This window comes from Homo sapiens, chromosome 9 (genome assembly GCF_000001405.40).
Source record: "Homo sapiens chromosome 9, GRCh38.p14 Primary Assembly".
NCBI classification, from domain to species: Eukaryota; Metazoa; Chordata; class Mammalia; order Primates; family Hominidae; genus Homo; species Homo sapiens.
In genome coordinates, this window is record NC_000009.12 from 100,837,652 (window position 1) to 100,853,028 (window position 15,377).

Sequence of the window (15,377 nt, forward strand, 5' to 3'; positions counted from 1 at the left end):
AAATTTACTTATATTTTATTGTTAGGATTTTACCAGCTTGAGAATATGGCTTGCAGTCTATCAGTGTTTTCTCTGTCTTGCTTTGACCCTGCTGAGAGACAATTTTGAAGGATGTTGTTATGTGTTGAGTTGTGTCTCCCCACCAAGAGATGTTGGAACCCTAACTTTCAGCACCTGAGAATGTGAATAATTTGGAGATAGGGTCATTGCAGATTTAATTAGTTAAGTTAAAATAAAGTCATTAGGATGGATCCTGATGAAATATGACTAATGTCCTTATAAAAAGGAGAAATTTGGACACAGACATACACACATACAAGGAAAATCAAGCTGATGCACCTGCAAGCTAAGGAACACCAAAGGTTGCCAGCAAACTCCTGCAACAGATCTTTCCCTAGTGCCTTCAGAGGGTTGTGCTGACATGTTGATCTTAGACTTCCTCATCTTGCCTCCAGAACTGAGACAATAACTTTTTGTTGTTTGAAGCCACCAGTTTGTGGTACTTTATTATGACAGCCTCCCAAAACTAGTACAGATGCTAAATTGGAAGACATATTTCTGATGTTCAGTAAATTGGCCTTTAGTAGAAATACGCCTTTAAAGTTTAGCAAATTTAATTCTCTAAATCAGATGTTAAAATATACAATGCTTAAAAAAGGCAATCTTGCTCAGTACGTGTACACAGAAATTTATGAATCGTGAAAATTTCATGGTCACTGTAAGAATGAAATAAAATATAAATTCTTATGTTTTTTCTTCTTCTGTATTTTAAAGGATCTATTGGGCTCCCAATCATCATTTCACTTAAAGTTTAGATTTTCTGAGGTTTCAGATCTCCAATTTGGGAATGGGGGAAGGAGTCATCTGTGTTTTGAAGCTTATCAATCAAATTAATTCTGATTTGGGAATTTAGAAATCAAGAAAGAAAGAAAATGAAGTGGAATGATATGGTGTATTATCCAAGGTTTAGTGTAGAAAACAGAAATCACTGTAGGTATTTCAAGCAATTAATATAGGTAATTGGGTGTTTTCTAAACCTTTGGAAAAGATAGGGGTATACAAGTTCAAGGAAGGCCATCACTAGCTCTCAGGTTCACTTTCAGGAAATCAGAAAGTTGCAGGAACCTCACAGAGTTCCTGCAGCACCAAGTTAGGAAGTTCATGTAGAAGTCCTTTCAAATCCTGCATATGTCCATCCACTGCTGCTGGGGGAACAATGACGTAGCAGTTCCTTCTGTCTTACCTTCTAATCATGCACAAGATTAGAAGCTTCTCATTGCCATTCTCTAACCAGAACTCTGCTGTAAGGATTCTGGGAAATGTAGTTCCCAGGCTGTCATCCCTTGAGACACAAGTGAGAACGTAAAGGGATTTTGGAGCTAAATTGCAAATGAATAATCTGCACAGTAAGCAATATTAGATATGGGATCTTTTTTCTGTCTTGGTTCAATCTTTGAGTTTTCCTAAAGTGCAGTTTCCATAATTATCAATTTTGAATATTTCTATTGTAAGTTTAAACCATAAGGTCTCAATTTGCCTTTAAATCAGCACTGATCTTGTCAAATGAGAAAAAATGTTTATTTCTTGAAGAAAGCAAGGGCCTCAGATTTTGGAGTAGCTGCATTAATACTTAGTGTATATATTAATCTGATCAGCTATTTAAACATCAATCAAGATGATGGTCTTCTACTAAGTTGATAGAAATATTTATTGAGGTTACTTGCTCTATACGTTAGAAGAGGCGAGAGTTTACAAGAGTTTACTAGTACGTTGTTCATTGCCCTATGCTAACAGCTCTCCCTAAAATGAAATCCTCAAGGCTAAAACATATGTCATAGTTGCAATTTTTCTGGCAACGTCTGTGAAGACATCCTTGCCATGGTGTTACAGTCAGTGTAAAAGACCTGAGTCAGAAAAATTGAGAGTCCCAGAGTAGAGAAATAAAGAGAGGAAGACAAATGGGAAGATGGCATACTACGAATTTTATTTTATTTTATTTAGGCAGAATCTCTCTCTACTGCCCAGGCTGGATTGCCATGGTGCAATCTCGGCTCACTGCAACCTGCACCTCCCGGTTCAAGCAATTTTCCTTCCTCAGCCTCCTGAGTAGCTGGCACTACAGGCATGTGCCACCACGCTTCACTAATTTTTGTATTTTTAGTAGAGAAGGGGTTTCTTGGCCTCCAGTAATCTGCCCGCCTCGGCCTCCCAAAATGCTGGTATTACAGGTATGAGCTACCATGCCCAGACTGAATTGTATTTATTTGTTGTTTCTTTCTGCCCATACATGTAAGTCACATAATCTCTTTTTTAAATTATACTTTAAGTTTTAGGGTACATGTGCACAAAGTGCAGGTTTGTTACATATATATACATGTGCCATGTTGGTGTGCTGCACCCATTAACTCGTCATTTAACATTAGGTATGTCTCCTAATGCTATCCCTCCCCCCTCCCCCCACCCCACAACAGGCCCCAGTGTGTGACGTTCCCCTTCCTGTGTCCATGTGTTCTCATTGTTCAATTCCCACCTATGAGTGAGAACATGCCGTGTTTGGTTTTTTGTCCTTGCGATAATTTGCTGAGAATGACGGTTTCCAGCTTCATCCATGTCCCTACAAAGGACATGAACTCATCATTTTTTATGGCTGCATAGTATTCCATGGTGTATATGTGCCACATTTTCTTAATCCAGTCTATCATTGTTGGATATTTGGGTTGGTTCCAAGTCTTCGGTATTGTGAATAGTGCTGCAATAAACATACGTGTGCATGTGTCTTTATAGCAGCATGTTTTATAATCCTTTGGGTATATACCCAGTAATGGGATGGCTGGGTCAAATGGTATTTCTAGTTCTAGATCCCTGAGGAATCGCCACATTGACTTCCCCAATGGTTGAACTAGTTTACAGTCCCACCAACAGTGTAAAATTGTTCCTATTTCTCCACAGCCTTTCCAGCACCTGTTGTTTCCATGTCACATAATCTTGAGGTGTTTTGTCTATTTTATTTACTTTTGTGTTCTCAAGTTTAGAACCAAGCATTTAAAAGCTACTTAAATATCTGCTGGAAAAAAAAAATGGGGCCTGAGAATTAGCATTTTAAAAATACTTAGGTGATTCTGATGCAGGTGGTCCTAGAAATACACTTTGGCAAATAAACACTGGTCAAAGTTATAGAATAGTTTAAAAGAAATAAAGTTATACTATTTGTAAGGACAAGTAATTAATTTATAAGAACAGTGATTTTTTACCTGTATGGTCTCAGAGGTGGATATGATTTCTTAAGACATAAAAAATTGATCATAAAAGAAGAGACTGATAAATTCAATTAAATTAAAATAAAGGTTTTTTATTCACTACAAAACACCATAAGTAGGATGAAAAGACAAGTCATAAACTAAGAAAAGTAATTTGCAGCACATGTAACTGACCAAGGACCAGTATCTTTAATATATAAATTACACCAACGAATCAGTAAGAGAAAGACAGGCAATCTGATATAAAAATTTCTGAGACTTCGACAAGCATTTCACAAAATAAATTCAAATGGCTAGTAAATATATGATAATGTGCTCAATTTTATTGATAATCATTGAAATGTAAATTAAAATTGCAATGATATAACGTTCACATTCACTAAATTCACAAAATTTAAAAGATAAATCTACCAATATTAACTGTTGAAGTGAGTATAGATCAATGGAAAACTATACCTTGCTGAGGGAACTATAAATTGATACAGCCATTTTGGAAATACTTTAGTACTTGCAAACTTGAATATGCTCCAGGTCCCAGAATTTCTCTTTCTAGGTATATTCTAGAGATACGCTTGTTTATAAACACCACAAATGTGCAAAAATGTTCCTAGCAGTGTTTTTTGTAATGGAAAAATACTGGTCACAGCCCAAATGTCCATTATCATGAGACTAGATAAATAAAATGGAATAATATACAGTAGTGAAGATGAACAAATCACAGCTATACAGTTATAGCATGAATAAATCTTAAAAATACTGAATGAAGAAAGCAGATTACAAAATCTGGTTTTCATACAGTACAATGTCATTTTTAAAAAAAGTTTGAAAAAAGCAAAGCTTAATTTAGTGTTTAGGAATACATACATATGGAATAACACTATAAGAAAAGTAGAGGAATGATAAACACAAAATTTCAGGATAGTGGTTAGTTCTGGTTGGGATGGGGAAAGAAGCAGATGAGAGAATAAGAAAGGGGCATTGAGGTGAGTACAAGGATGCTGGGAATATTCTAGTTCTTAGGCTAGGTTGTAGAATCATAGGATATTTATTTTTCATTGTTATGCTTTATAATGTATGTACATAGACTTTCTTTTGTCCGTGTGCAGTATTATATAATTAAAAAATCCAATAACCAGGATGATTTATAACTAAGGAAATTTGTAGTTTGTGGCTACTAGATTGTAAATTCTTCGAGGGCAGCTATTTGGTAAAAACAAAATATTCAACAATAATTGGACTCAACAATGAATGAAGAATGTTGTGATATGTGTACACTGATACTTCTAGGAGTGCTTTAAAAATGTACTTAGAAGAGATTGAAGATTGATATCATATGTAGTCCCCCTGTCACTTTGTCTTAATATGCTTGGGATGGCATTTTTTTCCTCACGTAATACAGGGAAATCATCTGACTTCAGGAGAAATCTCAAATTAATGGGATTTGAATGAATATACTTTTATTAATCTGTACAAAATTGATGACCATTTTGTGTACAAACTCAGCATTTGGCCTATGCAGATGTAATTGTTTTCCTGGAAAGAGCTGATAGGAAAAATTAGAAGATTTGATTTTCTGAAAATTTTCTTTTGGAGCCCCACCCACTTGCTCTAAATATGAAGTCAAAACTTTCCTCTATGTACTAAATATGGTAAAAGGATAAGCTGAAATGTAGAAACAAGATAAATCTATGGAATGAAGTGTAGTTTTCTAGAGAATGATCTTTCTACAGATTATTTGGGCCCTTTATCCCAAAGAGATTCTTCTGTACCCCAAACAATAGGACTGGGATAAAATAGCCTTGAACTGCATGCATACAGATTTGAATTCTGCCTACCACACTTAGAAGAATCTGACAGGGAGACACATTCATATCATATTTTAGGAGTTTTTGAGGTCACAAATATTTAACAGTTAGTCTGAGGCCAGTATTGGTCCTGTGGATAGACTGGTCAGTGGATTTGACAGTGAGACAGGTTGGACATCCAAACCAGAAGAACCTAGAACAAGTGAAGTCTCAGATTTTGTGGCCAGTGTGTTAAGGATGGGCATTTAGAGGACCCAAATTGTGGTCAGTGAGGTTTTTATCCTGGGACAATATTGCCAAATGTGAGGTCACGTAGACCCTTAGTGAATCATGATGTGATTTTGCTGCTGCAGTTGAGAAGGTAAGTAACAAATGAGATAAGGTATTATCAGGTTAATACCTTATATACAAAAGCAAACAGCTGCCTTTTTAGAGGGTGGAGAGCTCATGGCATTAACAGAGGGGACAGGAAGGCTGAGCTCAGGGTGGTGTAACACAGCGTGCACATATACAGAGGCCACTAAAGCCCAAGCCATGGCTGCTGCAATATTGGGGTAGCAAATCTGTATTACACAAAGATATTTTTAAAAGGATATTGTTATAATTATCCCAGCCTTGGGACAGAGTATAAAGGGAAGAGGTCATAAAAAGCTAAAGATGTTTAGGATTGCAATGAGATTAAGGTTTAGGTAAAGAAAGTAGAGAAAATATTCTATTCCTCAGCAAATGCATCTTTTTGTTTTTGTGTTCTGGATTTTGCCTTCACTAAGCAATAGAAAATAGTTGAATTAATATGAAGAAAGCCCCTGCTTTAGTTGACTCTCTCTTAGGAGGGAATATGGTGTTGAGAAAAGGGATCTTATTTATGCTTGCTGGGTTGCTGCTGAGACTTGACACATTTACCTTGGACCAGCTCTTGAAGTTGGTGAACCAATGCCAACCAACCTTTGTTCAAGAAGGGGCAGCAACATTGGATGCACCACCAGTGACATCTGTTCCCATGAAGGATTCTTGGATATAGAGAGTGTGGAGCTCTGAGACTTGTAGAGGGGGTTAGTGGAGATGGGTCCTTGAAGGCACTATTGCTTCTATTGACTGTTGACTTCCAATACTTAGGCTTTTGCTTCAAGATCTTGTGTATTTTAGGTATTCAATAAATGTGACGGTTAATACTGAGTGTGAACTTGATTGGATTGAAGGATGCAAAGTATTAATCCTGGGTGTGTCTGTGAGGGTGTTGCCAAAGGAGATTAACATTTGGGTAACACCCTCCGTGGGCTGGGAAAGGCAGACACATCTTTAATCTGGGTGGGCATCATCTAATCAGCTGCCAGAGAGGCTAGAATATAAAGCATGCAGAAACATGTGAAAATATGAGACTGGCCTAGCCTCCCAGGCTACATCTTTCTCCTGTGCTGGATGCTTCCTGTTCCCCAAACATTGGACTCCAAGTTCTTCAGTTTTGGAACTCGGACTGGCTCTCCTTGCTCCTCAGCTTGCAGACGACCTGTTGTGGGACCTTTTGATCATGTGAGTTAATACTTAATAAAATCCCCTTTATATATGTATATATCTATCCTATTAGTTCTATCCCTCTAGAGAACTCTGACTAATACCATAGGCTCAGATGGGTGGATTTAAAAGGCTTGTTAGAAAATACTCCGTATTCTCTAGGTAACTCAGTAGTCAGCAGAATGATTCTGTAAGTATCAAACACTAGGAAGGATAGTGTGATGGCCTCTGAGGCAGTCACTGAGGTCTCTAAATTAGTTTGGGAGCAGAAGGCAAAGATAAAGAAAAATAATTAGATCTATAAGCAAATTTAAGACTCTCATTATAAAGTATTAACCTGATAATAGCTTATAATGAGAGGTTATAAGGTATTATCTTATTTGTACTTTCTTTAAACAGAAAGTGATAGAAGATTGATTTTAGATTTGGTATAAAATTTTATCTTAAATCCAAGATTTGTAATTGCTAGAATGTAAGTTGTCATGTGAGGAAATTTCAATATTCCAGTCCTGGGGAAAATGATTGTTTTTTTCCTAGAGTTAATCTTTTTCACTTGAAAACTGCAATTTTTTGCACAGTTCTTGGTCCTTAGGATACAATGATGGTTTAATAATCTCATCTGACTTGGTTACAGCGTCTCTACAGTGGCCCCAACAATACGCTGAATAGACTTAGTTGTGCTGACTGCACAGTAGAGAAATGATTAATAGCCAAACAGCCAAATCTGCCCAAAGTGATTGCACCATACCTCATCTCAGTTTCTCACATTTTTTCATTAAAATGGTAGATTGATTTTTCTGCTTTCACGGCTTCTTCAGTGTAACGTGGTGCATTTCTTGCCTGGCAGTTGTAAAGCTGAGCTCTTGTTATTCTGTGTGCATGTGCACATGTGAGTATGGTTGCATATGTGCTATAGTGCAAAAGTTCTGGACTGGGTGGTAGGAAATCTACGTTTATTTTTACTTCCTGTACTCATGGTCTAGGTGACTTAGTGAAAACCACTGCCTCTTTGAACTCTTAAATTTTGCAATAGCAGTGTTTCTTTTATTTTTTATTTTTTTTATTCTTGCCATCCTTAAAACGTATATGAGAGCAATACTCACTCAGCATTGCTGGGTAAGCCAGTGAGACGCCATGGTGTAATGGTGAGGATCAGCGGTACTCTCTGCTTTTCAGGTAGTGTTTCCACAGTTGCCTGAATATGGCTATTGTGAGCTTCAAGTGAGAATGTATCTGCACCAGAAAATCAACCTCCTCCAATGAAATAACAACTTCTCTTCTAACAATGATAAATCTTGATGCCTTTTTAACATAAGATAAAAACATGGTAAGAGAGCTGGGTGGGGTGGCTCATGCCTGTAATCCCAGCACTTTGGGAAGCTGAGGCAGGCGGATTACTGGAAGTCAGGAGTTTGAGAGCAGCCTGGCCAGCATAGTGAAACACTGCCTCTACTAAAAATACAAAAATTAGCTAGGTGTGGTGGTGTGCGCCTGTAATCCCAGCTACTTGGGAGGCTGAGGCATCAGAATCGCTTGAACCTGGGAGGCAGAGTTTGCAGTGAGCCGAAATCGTGCCACTGCACTCCAGCCTGGGTGACAGAACGAGACTATATCTCAAAAAACAAAAACAAACAAGTAAAAACAAAAACAAAACCAAAAAACATGGTAATACATCTGACATTAATCTTTAGTCACTACTTTACTCATTTGAGAATTAGGAAGAGATCAGTTAAACATCTTAAAGGTAAGGGTAAAAGTATATACATGGCTTTGGTCCTTTCTTTACACTTTTTCTGTCTTCTCCACAAAATAATTGGCGTCCACAGTGGGCCTCAGTGACTGACATTGGGAGCTTTCAGATGACTTCTCCATTAGCTCTCTGTATGACATTAGATGCATTCAAGTACATAGTAGATATTTTTATGTTGTTAGAGCTTCCCAATTTTATATTAGAATAGATGTTCTAGCTTCTAAATGAGTTGCCTTGAAGTACAGGAGTTTAGAGGTCACAGAAAGCCTATCTTCATTTAAGGAACATATTACATTTCAGGTATTTTAACTAATGGTACCCATTACTAAACCCTGATGTAGTGGATTAATAGAATACCAGACCTGAAGGCCAAGAATCTTTTTTTAAATTTTTTTTTTAAGTTTCAATAGGTTTTTGGGGAACAGATGGTGTTTGGTTACATGATGAGTTCTTTAGTAGTGATTTCTAAGATTTTGGTGCCCCCATCACCCGAACAGTGTACACTGTACTCAATGCAGTCTTTTATCCCTCTCCCTCTTCCATCCTTTCCCCAGAGTCCCCAAATTCCACTGTATCATTCTTATGGAAGGCCAAGATTCTTAAGGGAAATTGATACCTTCATGAAGGAAAGTCTGATGTTTTCTGTCTCATAGAGTTCCCTAACTATGCAGCCACAAATAGAAAGGAGATCCTTGTGTATATGGCAGGAAGAGAATTCCCAGTTTTCATCATAACTAAAAAAATTCTGTGACTCGTGAGTTCAGCCAGAAAGGTGAGGTGACTTTTCTGTCTCTCCATAAGTCAGTCCCCAATAAACTCTCTCCATACCTGCTGTATTAGTCAGGGTTCTCCAGAGGGACAGAACTAATAGGATACATGTATATATGAAAGGGAGTTTATTAAGGGGAATTGACACACGCGATCACAAGGTGAAGTCCCACGATAGGCCGTCTGCAAGTTGAGGAGCAAGGAAGCCAGTAGTGGATCAGTCCAAGTCCCAAAACCTCAAAAGTAGAGAAGCTGACAGTGCAGCCTTCAGTCTCGGGCTGAGGGCCCGAGAGCCTCTGGCAAACCACTGGTGTAAGTCCAAGAGTCCAAAAGCCGAAGAACATGGAGCCTGATATTTGAAGGCAGGAAGCATTCAGCATGGGAGAAAGATGAAGGCCAGAAGACTTGGCACCTCTGCTCATTCCACCTTCTTCTGCCTGCTTTTTCTAGCTGCACTGGCAGCTGAGGGGATGGTGCCCACCCAGATTAAGGGTGGGTCTGCCTTTCCCAGCCCACTGACTCAAAAGGTCATCTCCTTTGACAGCGTCCTCAGAGACACACCCAGGAACAATACTTTGCATCCTTTAATCCAATCAAGTTGACACTCAATATTAATCATTATATCTGCTTAAACTAGTGTTTGCTGTGCTTTGCTATCTCAATTCAATATGTGCAAAAAGGTGCTCTATTTTTTTCCAGCCAAACCTAACTTTTTCTCCAGTGCACCATAACTCAATATATAGCACCAGCTACCCAAACCTTGAAAACCCAGGTGTTTCTGGTGTTTGTTATTTCACTTCTTCTCCCTCTATCTTCAATCATTCAAATATTTTTGCTTGTATATCTTCTTTGTCTCTCCAATTTATTAACATTCCTCTATTTTCAGCACCACTTTCTTGGTTCAGGCCAGTGGTCTTCAGAGTGTGGCATGTGCATTCGGGGATGTGTATAAGACAATCTTTTGGGATGTAAAATAAAATACTGGATTTCTGTTTCTATCTATTTTATTTTGTTTCATTTATTTATTTTTTGTTAGTTTTATTAATACAATAATACACATTTATATTTTATACATATATAAATGTGCATAAAATAAGAGCATATTGCTCAAGATTATTTTAATGATATGAGTGCATGATCAAAACATTTAGGCAACAGTAGGTTAGGTCTTCATCATTTCTTACCTATACTGCTGCAATGGTTTGCTCTCTGAAAATGTTGATATGTTTTACTCTCCTCTAATCCCATCCACTGATAATAGGTGTTTATTACTAAAATGTAAATCTGATCATGTTTCTCTCTTGCTTTAAAACCTCAGTGGTTCCCACTTTTCTCAGAATAAACCCTAGATATTAATGACCCTCAAATTCCTTCAAATGTCCTTTGCTTTCCCCCTCCACCTTTGTTTCTAGCTGTTCACTCCTTTGCCCTCTAAGTTCCAGACATACTGAGCTACTTGTTTGTCAAATGTACCATTCTCTCCTCTCCTCTGTTTTGGGGTTTTGGATGTGCTCATCCCTTTGTTTGGAAAGCGCTTGGTTTCCAGTTCAGTCCCACCTCTCCTGAGATTGACTTCAGATCTCAATGTAGATGTCACTTTCTCTAGGAGCTTTCCCAACCACCTGTATTGTGCTTCCTAGCACAATATAATATGTTTATTATAATTGTATGCTTATTTATCTCTCTCCTTGACTAAAGAGTAAACATCTTTTCCCACTGTTTTATCCCTGGGGCATAGTACAGTGCCCGGTACATATAGCTCAAATATTTGTTGAACAAATGGATAAAGTAATTAATATTGTCACTGTATTAGTCAGAACTACAGTCTTGATGACCCATCTAATCTCCAAGATGTATTCTGAATGTCCATATATTCAACATTTGTTTTACGCCAAACATGGAGATTTCTATTTAAGAGTATTATCTGCCACTGTAACCAACCTCTGTTTTATGGGGAATCTCTCCCATCCTCCAAGGACAAAAGCTTGCATTGCTGCTAAGAGGAACTATTTTTATGTTTCCAATTTGCCATAAAAAGAAGAATGCACATTATAGTTGTCTATTATTTCTTTTTCTAAAAGGTAGCAAATTTTTGCACTTCTAGGACAAAAAGGCATTGCTAAGGCTTTTTGCTTGTAGCATGGAAAGCAGTAAAAACCTGGCAGAGAGGAAGTATGATTCAGTTTCCTAGCAGTGGTTATTACTCAGAGTTAAGGACATTTCATCATTATTACTGCATTTATAATATGGTGCTTGAAGGTTGGTGCTCCACTAATAAAGGAAAATACCAGGTGCAAATAAAGTCAGTAAAAAGAATATGTTCACTGTGAGTAAGTTAATTATCAAATAACAACTTATCTAATAGAATATCTTGGAGATCTCAATGCAAGGACCATTTTGAAGTTCACACCAGGAAAGGAGACCACATTATGAGAGAGAAAATAAGCAAACACTATATCTGGTCATATTTTGATTTTAGGTTATTTATATTCTGTCAGGCTCTTAAAATTATTTAAGGTATCTTACAAAAAACCACATATAATAGTAATAAGATAAAATAAATTGAAAATAGACATGAAAAATGAGGCAAAAAAGAAAAATAAAGTTACAAAATTATGAGGGAGTCTGGAATTAGCTTAGTACCAGAAAAGGCAAAATTCCTGGAAGACAACCTAGGCAGTACCATCCTGGACATAGGAATAGGCAAAGATTTCGTGACAAAGACACCAAAAACAATTGCAACAAAAGTAAACATTGACAAATGGTACCTAATTAAACTAAAGAGCTTCTGCACAGCAAAAGAAACTATCAACAGAGTAAACAGACAACCTACAGAATGGGAGAAAATGTTTGCAAACTCTGCATCTGACAAAGGTCTAATATCCAGTATGTACAAGGAACTTAAATTTACAATTGAAAAACAATCCCATTAAAAAGTGGGCAAAGGACATAAACAGACACTTTTCAAAAGAAGACATATATGCAGCCAACACGCATATAAAAAAAAGGCTCAACATCACTTGTCATAAGAGAAATGGAAATCAAAACCATAATGAGATACCATCTCACACCAGTAGTAATGGCTATTAGTAAAAAGTCAGAAAATAACAGATGCTGAAGATGTTGCAGAGAAAAGAGAACACTTATACACTGTTGATGGGAGTGTAAATTTGTTCAGCCGTGTGGAAAGCAGTATGGCGATTCTTGAAGCGCTGAAAACAGAACTACTATTCAACCCAGCAATCTCATAACTGGGTGTATGCCCAGAGGAGTAGAAACCATTCTATCATAAAGACACAGGCATGTGAATGTTCATTGCAGCACTATTTAAAATAGCAAAGACATGGTATCAACCTGAATGCCCATCAATGACAGATTGGATATAGAAAATATGGTACATATACACCGTGGAATACTAGGCAACCATAAAAAGAACAGGGTCATGTCTTTTGCAGGAACATGGATGGGGTTGGAGATTACTATTAGCAAACTAACGGAGGAAAAGGAAACCAAATTCTCACTTATAAAAGTGGGAACAAAATGATGAAAACTCATGAACATAAGAAGGGGAACAACAGACACTGGGAGGTGTGGAGGGTGGGAGGAGGGAGAGGAGCAGAAAACCTTCACATGTACCCCTGAACCTAAAATAAAACGTTATTTTAAAAAGACGTCTTATGCACTTGTCAGGAGAGGGATGAAAGTTGGATTGAACCTTCCTGTATGCCAGAATTCCAGGGAAATATGATTCACAATGCAATTCATAACGTTGGTAATATAATGAGACATTCCTCTCATGGATATTTATAGATAGATCATTTTGAAATCTAGATGATGGCATCAACAATATTCATTTAGAAATTGCGATAAAGTACACATAACATATAACAGTTGTCATTTTAACTATTTTAAAATGTACAATTCAGTGGTATTAAGTACTTTCACATTATTGTGCAACCATCAGCACCCACGATCTATTTCCAGAACTTTTTCATTAGATGAAAACCCCACACCCATGGAATAGTCACTCCCCTGGCAACCACAATTTGTTTTTTTGTCTAAACAACATTTTTACAGTAAACACAACAAATAATTTCATAACCCTATGTATTACAATGCCACAGTTAGCAGTGGATGACATCATGCCATTTCTGTGTTTGTGTTCAAGTCTTTTATAATTCTGACTGTCTAGAAAAACTGATTTGGCAGAAGAAGAGAGGGTGGATGGCCTCCTTCACCTTGGAAACCACCAGGATCAACACCTGGGGAGAACTGTTTTATCTACATGATTGTGTTGGAAAAATTTCTACAGAGAGATATTTACCAGAGAACTATGGGTGTTAGTTTGGAGACTCAGAAAGACTTGGATCAAGTCAGTTGATGAGTGACTTATAGCTAAGAATTACTGAACTATCTTAGAACTTATCACAACCCTAAGCATTAACTAAATTCTTGCTGTTGGTGAGGCTAATCTAGGTGAGGACCAGAAGGAAGCCACATTGTTTATCCTGAAAGAAAAAGAAACAAGTGTGAAGATTTCGAGAGCTGGAGGTGAAACAAGTATCACTCAGCCTACAGAGGTAAATTCTAGATAAGCAAGGTTTTGAAGGGATTAGTGGGGATAGATGGGATTGGGGATTTTAAATTCAGCATGGGACTCAGTTTGTAACTGGGCTCTGTGATTTTTTTGCTTCCAATGTGCCAAGAAGAAAGATTAGTTGATTTTTCCCTGTCCCAATATTTTATTAGAATTCAGAATAAATGAGTAAGAGTGGACATTTGATTCTGAACACGTAACACAAATCAAGATGTGGAGGCTTTGTATTTTGGGTTCTGCTCAGAATTATTTTTTTCTCAGCCATGATTTCCAGTCATTTGATGAGCTCTATTTATTTGGTGTTTTCAGTTTTTTTTTTAAATCTGTGACTTCCCTTCCATTCTCAGTTTTATTGTCCTAATTGAAGCCCTTATCACCTTTTGTCTGAATGACTACTGTAGCTTTTCAGTTGATCTTCCACTTCTCAAGCTCCTGACAATCTCTGTTTAAATGGTTCAAACTTTTGCCAGAATAAATATCCTAAAAAACTGTTTTGATCGCTCTGCTATTATCACTTTTCTCTTCACGGGCCTTCAATATAAGAAATAAGTATATGTTAATGGCACCATCAAAATAAGCAGAGAAGAAAGGATCATTCAAAAAGTTGTGCTTAGACATGAGTTATTTACTTAGGGAAAATTCCCATGTAAATCTTCTGCTATATATTATAATAAACTGTGGGTGTATTAATGACATAATAAAGGTACCCAAAGAAAACATGGGTGAATGTTTTTTTCAGAATGAAGTTTAGGTAAAAGGCTTTCTAATGGGAGAAATAAGGAAAATGACAGATTGATTTGACAACACTAAAATTTAAATTCTCTAGGTCAAAAATACCATAAACAAAAAAGTATACACAAAGCTGGCTAAAATGCCTAATTCGTATGAGAGGTCCTGGCCTTTTTATTCTCTAGCTCCAACCACAATAACCTAGTGGCAATTACGAGAAACAACCAGACCCTTCCTTGCATGTGCTGCTCCCTCTGCCTGGAATGTTCTTCCTACACATCCTCCCATGTCTGGCCCTTCCTCGTGCTTTAGGTCTCAGGTCAAACATTTTTTTCTTACGAAGGTTTTCTCTGTTAACCCTCTCTAAAGTAGCCAGCCCTCACTGTCCTCCCATTTATGACTTTCACTCTGTCACATTACTTGTTTTGTGTTCTGTCACTAACTGATTGATCTTATTTATTTGTTTTATCTGTTCCCTAGAATGCAAACCTCATGAATGTATATGTCTTGTTCAGCAGCACCTACACTTGTTTTTGACAAGTGATACTAAATGAGTATTTGTCAAATAGGTGAGTGAAGGAATGAATATGTATATGTGTAAATAAAAAACTGAAATAACATATAGCAAAATGCAATAACAGGGTTATTTATAGGAGGAATTTTGTCGATAATTCCTTTTTTCTGTCTTTTCCAAATTTTCTAAAATGAATACCTATTAATTACATTGATTGTTAGAATAATAAATAAATGGTATTTGATGGAAGCCACATCTTAATAAATGATAGCATCTATAATGTCAATTTGTTAATCTCAATTAGTTTGACAAAAGATAATAAACTATGCATACTATAAAGAACAAATTTCCTAGAAATGAGAGTGTCAACTTGCATCGTCTTAAAGTATTCACACATCTAACACATCCAGTTAGCTTAACTGAATAATGTAGAAATTGGGCCAAA

The 15,377-nt window shown here is 37.0% G+C and overlaps 1 long non-coding RNA gene across 2 annotated transcripts in view; it reads left to right on the top strand.

Moving 5' to 3' along the window:
- The window catches only part of LOC105376179 (uncharacterized), a 46,949-nt gene extending 31,979 nt beyond the window's left edge, over positions 1 to 14,970 (top strand). The window contains exons 4-5 of one of the 2 annotated variants that reach the window (XR_001746575.1): positions 13,559 to 13,672; positions 14,899 to 14,970. This is a non-coding gene — a long non-coding RNA (uncharacterized LOC105376179). The remainder of the gene's footprint in view (positions 1 to 13,558; positions 13,673 to 14,898) is intronic. The other variant, XR_930178.2, reaches the window with a different exon arrangement.
- The last annotated feature ends 407 nt before the right edge of the window (positions 14,971 to 15,377 follow it).